The 14,452-nt window shown below is 55.3% G+C and overlaps 1 protein-coding gene across 6 annotated transcripts in view, besides 2 other annotated features; it reads left to right on the forward strand.

Annotated features, from left to right (window-relative positions):
• MGAT5B (alpha-1,6-mannosylglycoprotein 6-beta-N-acetylglucosaminyltransferase B) overlaps positions 1 to 14,413 on the forward strand; it is an 81,990-nt gene extending 67,577 nt beyond the window's left edge. For 3 of the 6 annotated variants that reach the window (NM_001199172.2, NM_144677.3, XM_006721707.4), the window contains 6 exons: positions 2,008 to 2,163; positions 4,422 to 4,568; positions 4,752 to 4,868; positions 10,396 to 10,470; positions 11,850 to 12,106; positions 12,660 to 14,413. In NM_001199172.2, coding sequence (NP_001186101.1) covers positions 2,008 to 2,163; positions 4,422 to 4,568; positions 4,752 to 4,868; positions 10,396 to 10,470; positions 11,850 to 12,106; positions 12,660 to 12,858 — 951 coding nt within the window. In that variant the 3' untranslated portion in view covers positions 12,859 to 14,413. Of the gene's footprint in view, positions 1 to 2,007; positions 2,164 to 4,421; positions 4,569 to 4,751; positions 4,869 to 8,122; positions 9,278 to 10,395; positions 10,471 to 11,849; positions 12,107 to 12,659 lie in introns of those variants that run through there. The other 3 variants (NM_198955.1, XM_011524352.3, XM_047435383.1) reach the window with 3 other exon arrangements.
• Positions 1,702 to 2,244: an enhancer, noted in NCBI's record as "H3K4me1 hESC enhancer chr17:74933764-74934306 (GRCh37/hg19 assembly coordinates)". NCBI's record gives its function as "activates a minimal SCP1, AML or CMV promoter by ChIP-STARR-seq in naive H9 embryonic stem cells {active_cell/tissue: H9 hESC(naive)}" and the evidence as "EXISTENCE:reporter gene assay evidence [ECO:0000049][PMID:30033119]".
• Positions 4,552 to 5,110: an enhancer, noted in NCBI's record as "H3K4me1 hESC enhancer chr17:74936614-74937172 (GRCh37/hg19 assembly coordinates)". NCBI's record gives its function as "activates a minimal SCP1, AML or CMV promoter by ChIP-STARR-seq in primed H9 embryonic stem cells {active_cell/tissue: H9 hESC(primed)}" and the evidence as "EXISTENCE:reporter gene assay evidence [ECO:0000049][PMID:30033119]".
• Positions 14,414 to 14,452: the final 39 nt, after the last annotated feature.

The following is a 14,452-nucleotide window of genomic DNA, read 5'->3' on the forward strand; positions in this document are numbered from 1 at the left end:
CAGAGAGACGGGGTCTCATTATGTTGCCCATTCGGGTCGCAAACTCCTGGGCTCAAGCGATCCTCCCGCCTCAGCCTCTCAAAGTGCTGGGTTACAGGCATGAGCCACTGCGCCTGGCCTTGTCTTTCTCTTAACAGTGTCTTTCAGCCGGGAACGGTGGCTCACGCCTGTAATCTCAGAACTTTGGGAGGCCATGGCGGGGTGGATCCCGAGGTCAGGAGATTGAGATCAGCTTGACTAACAAGGTGAAATCCCATCTCTACTAAAAATACAAAAGATTAGCCACGTGTGGTGGCGTGCGCCCGTAGTCCCAGCTACTCAGGAGGCTGAGGCAGGAGAATTGTTTGAACCTGGGAGGCGGAGGTTGCAGTGAGTCGAGATCGCACCACTGCACTCCAGCCTGGGCGACAGAGGGAGACTCTGTCCCAAAAACAAACAAACAAAACAATGTCTTTCAAAGAGAAAAGTTCTTAATTTTAATGAAGTCCAGTGTTTTCTTTTAGGGATTGTGCTTTTGGTGTTGTATTTAAGAAATCTTTGTCTAACCCAAGGTTACAAAGATTTCTTTCCTGTTTTTTTGTATAAGTTTTATAGTTTTAGGTTTTGCATTTAAGTCTGTGATCCATTTTGCATGAACTTTTACATATAATAAGTAAAAAGTTCTTTTACGTTTTTGCGTGTAGATATCATGTTTCATGACCATTTACTGATGAAACCATCCTTCCTCCACTGAAATGTTTTGCACCTTTGTCGAAAATCAGTTGACCACACTGTGTGTGGGTCTATTTCTGGAGTCTGTATTCTGTTCCATTGATCTGTTTGTCTATCTTGATGCCAATACCACACTATCTGGATTACTGTAGCTTTATAAGAAGTCTTGACATCGGTAATATAAGCCTGCTAACTGTGTTCTTTTTCAAAGTTGTTTTGTCTATTCTAGGTTCTTTGCATTTCCAAATGAGTTTTAGAATCAGCTTATCAATTTCTACAAAAAAGTACTGGGAGTTTGATTGGGATTTCAATGTTTTTTTTTTTTTTTGAGTTCTGGAAAATGAATATGAAAAATTGTAGAGATAATTTAAGATCAAGGATGACTCTATTTTACTCCAGAGAGAATTTACTTTTACTCTTGGCTTATAGCTGGGGGCCCTAGCAATCTCGGATCACCTTGATCAATATGGTGATTAAGACAAAATGGATTCAGCCCCTGCAAGGACTGGTCTAGCTCTGTTTCATCCTTTTCTCTAGGGTGGAATTCCTCTGAGTTCTAATTCCAAATATGGAGCTTCCATCAGAGGTCCCCCTCCTTCAGTGAAAGAAGGGATGGGCAGATAAGATGGATGAATGAGAGGATGGATGGATAGATGGATGAGTCGATGGGTGGATGGGTGAGTGGAGGGATGTGTGAGAGGGATGGATGGATGAATGGGTGGGTGGATGAGTGGATGGGTGGATGTTTGAGAGGGATGGATGGGTGAATGGATGGATGGGTGGGTGGACGCATAGAGTTATGGGCAGGTGGACAAATGGATGGATGGATGGATGCATGGATGGTGGGTGCATGGATGGATGGTGGGTGCATGGATGGATGGTGGGTAGATGGATGGATAGGATGGATGGGATGGGTGAGAGAGAGAGATGGATGAATGGACTACAGAGAGCTCCACAGCTCCTCAGAGGAGCTTAGAGGTCATTAGGGGTTCAGCAGATGCCAAGTGGCACCACGTGAATCCATTTAAATGTTGGTCCCCATAGGGTTCCTTTGGAAAGAAAACAGTTTCATGGCTAAAAGTAATCCTGAAGCCTCTGCTCTAGTCCAATCTCTGCCATTCATAGGTTTTCAGGGCCAGAGAGGGGCGGGGCCTTTCCCAGTGTCCCACAGCCAGTTAATGGCCAACCTGAGACTGGGTCCACATCTTCTGACTTCCAGACCAAAGGGATCTCCTCCATGGACTTTGCCTTCTGTGGTTTGCATGTGGTTCCCATCTCCTCCTCTTCTTTTTCCAGGGGAAGGAGAAGTTCCTGGGCATCCTGAACAAATACATGGAGATCCATGGCACCGTGTACTACGAGAGCCAGCGGCCCCCCGAGGTGCCAGCCTTTGTGAAGAACCACGGCCTCTTACCGCAGCCTGAGTTTCAGCAGCTGCTGCGCAAGGCCAAAGTGAGCTCCCATCCCCCGCACCATTCTCACACTTGCCGGCTGCAGACACTGAGGTCACCACCCATGCCTGCCACCACCACTCAGGCCCCTTCCACATATGGACATACCCCAGCATGCTCTGCTGCCCTGAGCCCCACATCTGGCCAGAGCCCAGGGGCAGAGATGTGGGTGCCCACCAGGCAGGAGAGGTCCTATAGAGAAAGGGACCTGGGCAGGGCCAGCAGAGCAGCAGAGCCGTGGCTCAGTGATGGGGAAGTAGAGTTGGACTGCCCATCCTCCCCCTTGCAGTACCAGTCCAGCCAAATGGACTCCTGGGTCAGGCCTAGCTTTTGGAGACACTGAGCTGGGGGGTGGTTGGGTGGGTGGAGAGAAGGGTCCTGGCTAGAGTGCCATTGAGCCACTAGTCCTGAGTGACTGCTTCAGGGGTCCCTGAGCTGTACTGCTGGAGCAGCAGTTGACACAGTGGGCAAAACCCTGACTGGACCCTGGAGTATCAGCTGAGGCTGGAGAGTCTCCAGCCAGCTTCTAGGCACCCCCTCACCCTCTTTTTTATGAGACAGGGTCTTGCTCTGTCACCCACGCTGGAGTGCAGTGGTGCAATCAGGGCCCACTGCAACCTTATATTCCTAGGCTCACACAGTCCCCTCACCTCCACCTCCCGAGTAGCTGGGACTATTGGCATACACCACCACACCTGGCTAATTTTTAAATTTTTTGTAGAGATGGTGTCTTCCTACATTGCCCAGGCTGGTGTCAATCTCCTGGGCTTAAGCGATCCTACCACCTCGGCCTCTCAAAGTGCTGGGATTACAGATGTGAGCCACTGCACCTGGCCCCAGGCCCTCTCTTGATCTCACCATAGCTTGTTTCCCAAGGCATCTTGGGGGTGTGTGTGTGTGTGTGTGTGTGTGTGTGTGTGTGTGTGTGTGTGTTGGGGGCAGTGGAGATGCTTGCATGCAGTGAATAACCTGAACAACCTCACAGAACAGCCCTGGATTCAGAATCATTTATTAAGTGCCTTTGAGGCCAGCCCTGTGCACTCCTAGCACAAGTTACTTAAAAAATAATAATTTTGGCCAGGTGCGGTGGCTCACACCTGTAATCCCAACACTTTGGGAGGCCGAGGTGGGCGGATCACGAGGTTAGGATATCGAGACCATCCTGGCCAACATGGTGAAACCCTGTCTCTACTAAAATACAAACAAACAAACAAACAAAAAATCAGCTGGGTGTGGTGGCGGGCGCCTGTAGTCCTGGCTACTCAGGAGGGTGAGACAGGGGAATTGCTTGAACCCGGGAGGCAGAGGTTGCAGTGAGATGAGATGGTGCCACCGCACTCCAGCCTGGTGACAGAGCAAGACTCCGTCTCAAAATTTTTTTTCAACTTTTATTTTAGGTTTAAGGGGTACATATGCAGGCTTGGTACCTGGGTATATTGCATAATGCTGAGGTTTGTGATATGAAGGATCTTGTCACCCAGGTAGTGAGGATAGTACCCAGTAGTTAATTCTTCCGTCTTTACCCCCTTCCTCCTCCCCACTCTGGGAGTCCCCAGGTGTCTGTTGTTGCCATCTTTATGCCCATAAGTACCCAATGTTCAGCTCCCACTTATAAGTGAGAATATGCGGTATTTGGTTTCTGTTCCAGCTTTAATTCACTTAGGATATTGGCCTCCTGCTGTATCCATATTGCTGAAAAGGACATGATTTTGTTTTTTTTTATGTCTGCGTAGTATCTTATGGTGTCTATGTACCATACTTTCTTTATCCAAGCCACCGTTAATGGGCACCTCCGTTGGTTCCATGTCTTTGCTGTTGTAAATAGCCTCACACAAGTTAGATGCTGAATAAATGTTTTTGGGATGAGTGAGTGAGGTTCCTGGAGGTCTCTTGCAGGTGCGGGCCTGCAGCTTTCTTGGCCTGAAACCCTTGTTCTTTTCTTCCTCCCTCCACAATCATAAATCATAGCCTGATAGAGCAAGAAGAGACCATTGATAATACCTAATTAGACCCCCTTATTTCACAAATGGGGAAACTGAGGCCCAGAGAGGGGAAGTGCTTGCCCGTGGCACAAGATGTTCTGGGCTGGCTTTTCCAGCCCTGTTATAGCTCACATAACAGGCTGAGCAAAAATAATCGCTCCAGGCCCAGCTGCCTCCTGTGAATATCCCGAAGCCTCACCTTGTCCCCGGCATCCTGGTGCTTACTGGGCTGTGGCGGCCCAGCCCTCCCTGATCACTGCGCCCCTTGACTCTGCAGCTCTTCATCGGGTTTGGCTTCCCCTACGAGGGCCCCGCCCCCCTGGAGGCCATCGCCAATGGTTGCATCTTCCTGCAGTCCCGCTTCAGCCCGCCCCACAGCTCCCTCAACCACGAGTTCTTCCGAGGCAAGCCCACCTCCAGAGAGGTGAGTGGAAAGCATCCTGGTCCCCGATCAGGAGGGGCCGGGACAGAGACCCCTGCAGGTCCTGGAAGAGGCAGACTGAGATGTGGGGCAAAAGGAGATAGGACAAGTGTATGGGGTACCTTTCTTTGTCCCTGTCCCACTGGCAGGCACGGGGGGCATCTGCAATCTCTGTACCCTTGCCAGGTGTTCTCCCAGCATCCCTACGCGGAGAACTTCATCGGCAAGCCCCACGTGTGGACAGTCGACTACAACAACTCAGAGGAGTTTGAAGCAGCCATCAAGGCCATTATGAGAACTCAGGTGAGAGCAGCCACATACAGTTGAGACCCCCCACTAGTCCACACTGCTGGTCTTCACTCTGATTAGAAAACGGTGCCCCCCTCTGGGTGAGTTCAGACTTGCAGGCCTGGGTTGGCAAAGGTGTCCATCCCTCCCCTGGTCAGACACAGCCCTGAGCCAGGGCATGTGGATTGGAGAATGGAATGGGGGATCCCATTCATCTACTCAGGTGTGATGTGTGGGGAATGCCTTTGTGCAGTGAGCAACCTGCACAACCTTACATGGCAGCCCTGGATCTCAAATTGTTTATGGAGCACTTTTGAGGGCCAGGTGCTAACTGAATGTTTTCACGATGGATGTGTGGAGGTTCTTGAAACTGCTGCAGGTGTGGCTTTGCAGCCTTTACACAGCACATTTCAAAATATAATGTGCATACAGAGCGTCTGTTAATGCGGGGCAACGCTTCGAGTAGCAAGGGGGCAGAACACCCTGGGTCTCCAGCGAACGTGGGTGCTGGTGTGTGTAGGTGCACATGTGTGGGCTGGGTGAGAGTGAGGAGGGGCTTGTGCCTGATGCTCATCTCCGCAGTGGACATGTTTGTGGCTTTTGATCGTGCCTTGTGCTTGGCTGGTTCCTTCATTCTGGGGAGGCTCAGACCTGGTGAACGAGAGAGCCTCCTCTCACTATGGTTCTCCTGGATCCCCTTCTTGCTATAGCTCAGATGATAGGCTGAGCAAAAATAATTGCTCCAGGCCGGGAATGGTGGCTCCCGCCTGTAATCCAGCACTTTGGGAGGCCGAGGCGGGCAGCTCACTTGAGGCCAGGAGTTTGAGAGCAGCCTGGCCAACATGGCAGGTTTCTCAAAGTTAGGGACTGTCTGAGATTGGATTCCTCCAGGAAGTAACATGAAAACAGGGATTTTAGCAGTAGCTTATTTGGGAGGCAACCCCAGGAAGCAGGCACGGAGGTGCCAGGTGAGGCAGGGTGTGTATCAGCAGGTGGCACCTGGAGCTCATCACCACGGGGGCCTCTGCAAGATGGGGTAGGTCACATCCCAGAGCTGTCCTGCCCGAGGAGAAAGAGGCTAGGGTAGGTATCCTCCTCTTCCCATCCATCTGTGGCTGAGGGTGGTGCCTGGGATGCCAGTTCCTGACACTTTTGGCCTGCACACAGATGGGCTCGGCAGGCCAGAGACAGCCTTGAGGTGGAGTCACCGGTGACGGAGGGTGGGGCGCTGATGGCCCTGCTGCAGGGAGAGGTTGTGTGACCTTGTAATGCTGGATCCTAGCAAAGCACCGGCCTAGACAGAGTGGGGAGGGATAAAAAGCTCCCTTGCTAGCTCTCAACGCAGTGTTGTCCCCTGTCCTGGGCTGGTGGCTTAAGTTCTGGCAAGGCCTTGTAGAGCAAAAGCAACTAGAGGCCAGGAGCAGGGGCTCACACCTGTAATCCCTGCACTTTGGGAGGCCGAAGCGGGCGGATCACTTGAGGCCAGGAGTTTGAGAGCAGCCTGGCCAACATGGTGAAACCCCATCTCTACTAAAAATACAAAAAGAAATTTAGACAGGCGTGGTGGCACACGACTGTGATCCACCAAGAGGCTGAGGCAGGAGAATCGCTTGAACCTGGGAGGTGGAGGTTACAGTGAGCCGAGATCATGCCACTGCACTCCAGCCTCGGTGACAGAGCGAGACTCCATCTCAAAAAAATTTTAAAAAGATAAATAGGAACTTGGCCCCTTGGCCACGCCCTAGGAAGAGGGCCAGGTATTTGACTGGTACCAGCTTATAGGCTTAAATGGGGCTAGAAGTACCAGTGCCAGGAAGGAGGCCTTAGGTAGGGACCTCAGTGCATAGGAAAGAAGAGTGAAGGGGGTTAACTGATTAATTTCACTGCTGGAAACTGACCAACCCCAGCCCCCTGCACGGGGAAGCTGGCAACAAGGCGTACAGGTAGGCAAGGGGGCTCCTGTCACCCCACAGTCTCCTCCAGCTTCTTCTCCCACTTCTCCACCCACCTCCCTCTGCTCTCCTCCCTCTCCCCTCCCCTTGCAAACCAATCCTCTAAGACTTCTCCTGCAGAGGGGCTCGGGCAAGGCTGGGGAGGGGGACTACATAGACTTTTCCAATGTGGGGAGCAGCGTTTGGCCCAACCTCCAAGACACATTGTTAAGCTAAAAGAGCGAGACACTCCACCTTGGGGATAACTTGCCCCCCCGGGAGGCCCAGAAAGCGGGGTCGGGGGAGGGCTGTGTGCATGAAGGTGCTGCGATAGTCGCGGGTATTTCTGGTGGGACACACAAGAAATTGATAACTGGGGGAAGGACTGACTGTCTGCGGTGAGAGGAAACTTCCCTTTCATTGCTTTCCTGTTTGGTTTTTTTTTACATGAACATCTGTTTAATTTTGTTAATTAGTTAATTAAAAAATAACAATTACAAAAGGATTAAGGAAGCAAGGTATTGCAAATCTGACCAGCTGAGATTTGTGCTGGGCCCCAAACCAACGGAGGCCCCTCTGCCTTCAGACCCCTCCCTTCTGTGGGCCCCACCCCTCCGCATAACAGCTCACCCCCTCAGCTCACAGCAGCTCAAAAACATTTATGTGCCCAAGAGTCACCCGGGGGGAGGGCCTTAAATGCAGATCCTCGAGCCTATCCCGCACCTTCCCATTTAATAGGACCCAGCTTCGCGTGGGAATCTGCATTTTAAACAAGAACTCTGGGTAATTCTAATCTTCCCATTTTATTATTTTTTTAAAATTTTCTTTTTATATTATTTGAATAGAGATGGGGTGGGGTGGGGGGGGGGTCTCATTTTGTTGCCCAGGCCAGTCTCGAACTCCTGGGCACAAGCAATCCTCCCGCCTCGGCCTCCCAAAGAGCTGGGATTACAGGCATGAGCCACCATGCCCGGCCTAATAATTCTATTTTAGAAAACAGATTTAGGGACAGCTGGTGGAGGCTGAGAGCAAATGAGGGCTGCCATCATGGGGAGTGGCTTGTTCTGCAAGTCATGTGGCCTTTTACAGGGAGAGGGAGGGAGGAGCGGCCAGGATGGGGAGAAAGAGGTGAGAAGAAGAGGTGAGAAGAGGGAGGTCTAAGACACAGCGAGCCGGCCCCGGGCCTGACAGCCATGGAAAACCAGGGCCCGGCACCCCTTCTGTGTCTCTGCACCTCCCTGGGTTTGCCTGTGGACATCTCTGTGTCCAGAGCAAGGCCATTCAAGGTGATGCCAACACTGGCTTCCGCTGCACCCCTCCCTGCTGTCATTCCCGCAGGCCAGCAGTTCCCAGGCAGGATCAGCACCTGTCACTCTGTCGAGACTGATTAGGGCGCACACCTGTAATTAGACCTAATGGGGGTAATTTCCAGGCCAGGCAGGCTGGCTCCTCCGGCAGGAGATTCGTGGCAGGCGGAACGTCGTCGTCGTCGTTGGCCGTGAGTGTTTGCTTCACACAGGGACCTTTGAATTATCTTGTGACAAGGGCTTACAGACACAGGAGCAAGAGTAACTCAGAGATTTGCTGTCACGGAGCCGGGGAGCGGCATTTGGAGGGGAAAGCTCTTCTCTGGGGAGTTTTATTTATAACCTGAGAGTGAAGCCTTGTCCCCGCAAGACCCCCAGAAGTGTGTGGGGCTCAGAGGCTCCCAGGACTTCGTCATGAGTGTTTAGGGAACCAGCTGGGGCAGCAACTGGCTGCCAGGGTCTTCTTGGGCCATCGGCTCGGGAATGAGAGCAGGTCGGGACAGGGCTGTGCAGAGCACGGGGCTTCAAGGCTGGGCTGGGGATGGGACCTGCAGATTCTCCGGGACTTCGAACTTGCCCCAGCGTTGAGAATACCCACGCACAGTGCAGGGGGACGTCAGTGCTGGGGCAATGTCCGGCTTCAAGGACATCAGTGACTGCCGCTTCCCTGGGACCCTTGAGTGTCAGGGATGTCCCCTTGGCCAGAGGCCCCAGGACGAGTCTCCTAAGAAGTGGGGTACACAGAAGGCAGGACCGAGCTTGGCGCAGTTGGACTTTCTAGCACCACCCAACGCTGATGAGGAAGAAAGGAGGTGGTTGCAGGCTTGAGTCAAACAGTTAGATTTCACCCACTGGCTAAAGACGGGAAAGCGGCCTCATTAGGAGATGGGCTGGGCCAGGTCAGGTGCCACCAGGCATGGTGGGGTGGGGAGGTTGAAGCCTAAAACAGACCTTTCTCTGAGTCCGGGATGGCTCCTTCCTGAGTCCTGACTGCTGCCCCTGCCCTTTCAGGTCAGTGATTTTCTCCACGGTGGCTCTGCACTGGGCCTGAGAAGGTTAATGGAACAGGAAGGGGTTGGTTGGTTAAGAAGTCGGGGGGAGGCAGGAGTACCCCCTTACTCCTCTGTCACTCTTCCCTCCACTCCCCTGGTTTCTTTTACCCAAGCTACTGCATGCATCTGCCCACAGGACAGGTTGCTGTGTGACTATTAGATATTTATTTATTTATTTATTTTTGAGACAAAGTCTCACTCTGTTGCCCAGGCTGGAGTGCAATGGTGCAGTCTCAGCTCACTGCAACCTCCACCTCCCAGGTTCAAGTGATTCTCCTGCCTCAGCCTCCCAAGTAGCTGGGATTACAGGCACCTGCCACCACGCCTAGCTAATTTTTTTTGTATTAGTAGAGCCGGGTTTCACCACGTTGGCCAGGCTGGTCTTGAACTCCTGACCTCAGGCGATCCGCCCACCTCGGCCTCCCAAAGTGCTGGGATTACAGGCATGAGCCACCGTGCCGGGCTAACTATTAGATATTTAGACAGACAACCTGTGGCCTCTGTTTGGGGGTTTGTGCCTGTGGGGGCAGGGTACTTTACAAATGTCATCTCATTCCCGCTGACTGGGAGATGCCCCTGTGTTCCTCTGCATGAATGTCCCATGTCTTGGGCAGGATACAGGCAGAGCTGGGGATGCCTTTTCATTCCATGACTATTTCCTGAGCACCCACTGTATGCCAGGCACTGTGCCAGGCACTGGAGATTCAGTGTGAACAAGCCATAGTCCCCACCCTCAAGGTGTCCATAAGTTTATGAGAGACATGACGAATACACAGGAGACAATAACACAGGGGCTCATTCTGTGCTGGGGGAAGTCTGGGGTGCTGGGAGTCACCAAGGAAAGTGTTCCTGTAACAGGAGTGGGGGTGGGGCTCAGGGAAAGCTCCCTGGAGCAGGTGATGCCTAAGAGGGTGGGTGGGCTGTGGGAAGAGGAGGTGTCAAAGCCCAGTAGGGGACACAGCGCTGAGCTTTATCCTCATTGCAGTTGGGACAGGGACCTGGGAGGGGGTGGGGAGGGATGAGGCTGGGCCTTGTGGGTCCTGAGCCTGAGTCCCGGAGGGCTACTGGAGGGTGTGCGGGGAACGGGGACTCTGAGCTGGGTGGAAGGGCCAGGTGGATGGGGTGGTCGGCTCCCTGGGCATGGCACAGGATGTGAGAGCCCACCAGACCTCCACCCCCAATGCCGAGCATGGCAGGGCCCCCGACGGCTGGGCCTTCTCCCGCCCCATGTGTCTGCCCATCCCTCCCACAGGTAGACCCCTACCTACCCTACGAGTACACCTGCGAGGGGATGCTGGAGCGGATCCACGCCTACATCCAGCACCAGGTCAGTGAGCCCTCTGGTCCCTGCCCCAGATCCTGTCAGACCAGAGGAGGGGGCTGAGCCAGCTTCATTGTCTGCCCAGGGCCCTGCACCCGTGAAACCATCCAACTCCCTGCTCCCTCCTCCAGCCTGTCCAGTCTCTTCCCAGAGTTCCCTCAGGGCTGGAGACAGGCAGGCCTGACTGCGGGCCTGGAAAGCAGCACACTCCGGGCACTCCTGCTGTCTGGGCCCAGCCTTAGAGCCCAACTCCACGGCACTAACAGAAACACAAAGACTTCCGTTCTTAGAAAACAGTGGTTCGAAAGTCTGCTAACTGATTGGGATTTGGTAACTGAATGGGAAGTGAAGATCCCCAGACTCTCCGCCCACCTGCTAAGGATGGCAGTGAGACTGGAATGGGAGATTAGGATCTCTGCCCTGAGAAACCAGGGGACAGCCCCACGGTTTCAAAAACTCGGCCACCTCAGCCCCCGAGGGAGCGCCTGGGCAGGCACCTGTCCAAGGAGTACACTCCTTCTCCTCCCACGGGTGCTCAGAGTGCCTGGAAGTCGTGGGTGAGGAGGAGGGCGTGCCCTATTCCTGGGGAGTCCTGGCCCTCCACTGCATCCTGGTGGATCTGAGCCACCATGAGGGCTGCAGGTGGCCCAGATGGAGCGTGGCTCTGCAGGCCCCGGGTGTCCAGGGTGATGCCTGGGGTGGGCCTTGGGCTCAGGGCCCTGGGGCAGGTGGCCGTATGGCTGTAAGAAATTTCCACAGATAGTACGTGACCTCCCTTTCCATCTTGTTGGCCCCACCAATATTAGGGGCTGAGAGAGTCTGGTTCTCCCCTGTCCCTTTACAGATGGGAATACTGAAACCCCCAGAAGGGAGAGTGTATTCAGGTGAGGGGGTGAGGGTCAGGGCCGTGGCCAGAACCCAGGACTGGACCCAGACTGGAAGCTCACAGAAAAGCATTCGCGGGGCCCTCCGGCCCCTGGAGTTGAACCCTGCAGGGAGAGCCTCACAGCCAGCCTGGGGCCCTGTCCCCATGGAGGGCAGGGCTCGTGGGCCCCAGGGTAGGAACCCCAGCCTGACCTGAGCATCGAGGCAGCTCCAGGGCACACAGGATGCAGAGGGCCCTGAATCCAAGTCCTGTTCTGCCATCCAACCCCAAGGCCCTGGGCGGATGCCGTGACCTCTGAGCCTCCATAATTCCTGTAAGCGATCTGGAGACACGAGTGTCCATGAGAAGTAAATGAAATAATGCAGGTAAAGCTACCTGGTATTCAGTAAGCGCCCAGTAGTGGTGGCTCGTACTGGCACGGCAGGGCCACACCTTCAGGTGTCTCCCAGGCACACCTGGGTCGCACTTCCCCACCCTGACACTGCTCTCCTCCTTGCAGGACTTCTGCAGAGCTCCAGACCCTGCCCTACCAGAGGCCCACGCCCCGCAGAGCCCCTTTGTCCTGGCCCCCAATGCCACCCACCTCGAGTGGGCTCGGAACACCAGCTTGGCTCCTGGGGCCTGGCCCCCCGCGCACGCCCTGCGGGCCTGGCTGGCCGTGCCTGGGAGGGCCTGCACCGACACCTGCCTGGACCACGGGCTAATCTGTGAGCCCTCCTTCTTCCCCTTCCTGAACAGCCAGGACGCCTTCCTCAAGTGAGTGTTCCCCCACCCTCCCCACCCAGCCGCTATCATCGCTGGCCCAGCCGGGTTCACTGAGAGCTCTCATGCCCAGAACCGGCCCTCAGCCCTGCCAGTGTGGGGGGATGTAATGCTTTCCAATGAGTCAGGAAGGATCCAGAAGGGATCCTCCAGGCCATTATCCAGGTCATTGCTGCCCTACTCTTGGCCAAACCCTAAACTACCAGGGAAAGCTCCTTCCATTGCCTGCTCTCTTCCACCCACTCAGCCCCCTGCCCAGCCTGTGGGCATCGTCCTGTCCCAGACCATGAAAGCTGTCCCAGGTGCTCCTCCTACTGGGTCTGCCTGGGTCCCCAGCCCCTCCAGGCCAGGCCCCTCTCTTCTCCAGGGGTCCCTTGGACAGCAGGTGGGATAAAGGAGCCGTAACACATTTCCTTACCCAGGCTGGGATGGGATGGGCCAGAGAAGGGGAGCAGGCAGGACTAGGCTGGGGGCAGCCCCTACCCCGCCCCAGCCCTTCTGCCCAAGTGACCAACGCTGAGTGACGGTGCTGTGTGGTCCCTGCCAGGCTGCAGGTGCCCTGTGACAGCACCGAGTCGGAGATGAACCACCTGTACCCGGCGTTCGCCCAGCCTGGCCAGGAGTGCTACCTGCAGAAGGAGCCTCTGCTCTTCAGCTGCGCCGGCTCCAACACCAAGTACCGCCGGCTCTGCCCCTGCCGCGACTTCCGCAAGGGCCAGGTGGCCTTGTGCCAGGGCTGTCTGTGAATCCGCCTCTGCCGCCCTGCCTGGCACCCACGCTGGCTCTCTCCTGCCGCGGGAGAAAGCACCAGCAGGTTCTGAGCCCTGGCTGCTTGTCCTCCTCGCAACCCCCCCAGGCCGGAGCTTCCTTCCTTAGCCGGGAAGCTGGCAGAGGAGAGCCGTGCCCGGGAATAGGAGGAGGCAGCATGCCGAGCCCCTGGGACCTCCCAGGCAGGCTCCGGTTCTCTCCTGGGGACTCACAGAAGCATCGTGGCCAAGCAGGTGTCGGACTGCTCAGAGTCCGCATGGCCCAGGAGCAGGTGGTCGGAGGCCCCTGGCTTTGTGCAAGGCCGGATCTGGGCCAGGTGGCGAAAGGGGCCCAGTCGTTCTTGGGCCCAGGATGGGGCCTCTAGACTTGCAAGGGAGAGGAACAGGGACCAGGCTGCCCCACGGTCCCTGAAGGGTCCAAGGAGGGGCCCTCCCCATGGCCCTGGAGAGTGGGCCTGGGTGGTACCTGCTCCAGGCAGGGAAACTGGGGGCTCGCCCTTCTCCTGTGAGGGGAGCCAGGCACACAGGGCCCATTGGTGTTTGGGATGTGGACAGAGGGGCAGGGGGCTGGGAGAAGGCTAAGCCGAGGGGTCCTGTTTGTGCCTCCCCTTAGTCCCTTCCCTCCCGATTTCCCGATTCCCCCACCCTCCCTCTACACTTGAGGACCACAGTTGGGGGTGTAGGGACCACCCAGACCCTGGTTGAATTGTTTCTCTCTCCTGCTTGTTCCAACCCTTTTCACTCTGGGCTTCTCCCAAAACCCATCCTGGCATGACCTGCAACTCCAGGTGGTGGATTTGTTCCAAAGCCTCAATCCCTACCCCCTCCAAGGGGCAGGTTTCCAGTCCAGCCTCAGAGATCAGGCTCTGGGACCCCTGCCTGGGGGGTGGCCTTCATGCACTAGCCACTTCCGCAGGTGCTGACTCCCGCACTCCCTGGCATTTTTTGCAGACAAGGGCTTGGGATGGACCCTCAGCCCCATGGTACGCCCTGCCCAGTTTCCAGTTGCCCTGTCCACTTACCCTAGGTAGCCCCCCACCCCATCAGTGCCGAGTCCTTGTCCCTACCTCCAGCTTCCTCCAGCCTCAAACCGCCTCTGGATCTAGCTGTCCTTCTCCGAGTGGCACGCCTGCCCCAGGATGCCCCCTTTCCCTCCCCCCCATGCCCAGAGCCCCGCCTGCCTCAGCGGGTCAGGCCTTCAGAACACTGCCACCCACCCAGTTTTATAATCCCGCTCCCTCTCCAGGCAACCCCACCCACCAGCCTAGGCCTGCTCCTCCACCCTTCCCGGGAGGCAGCCCCGGGATGCTGAGAGTTGGTGGAGGGGCCAGGCTGGACGCTTCCTGTGGGAGTCCCCTCCAGACCTGGCTGGCCCCTGCAGCCACAGAAACCACGATGGCAAAAAATCTCATTGGTTCTCAAGGACTAACCTGTGGGGGAAAGCAATAGAGACACTCTTTTTCTCTCTTTTTTTTAAAGATTTATTTCTTGAAATAATAAATATTTTATTGGGATGTGAGGTGCAGAAGAGGAACTGTGCTGGATTCTCGTCTTTTCCTGCGGCATCCGGAGC

This window comes from Homo sapiens, chromosome 17, assembly GCF_000001405.40.
Source record: "Homo sapiens chromosome 17, GRCh38.p14 Primary Assembly".
NCBI classification, from domain to species: Eukaryota; Metazoa; Chordata; class Mammalia; order Primates; family Hominidae; genus Homo; species Homo sapiens.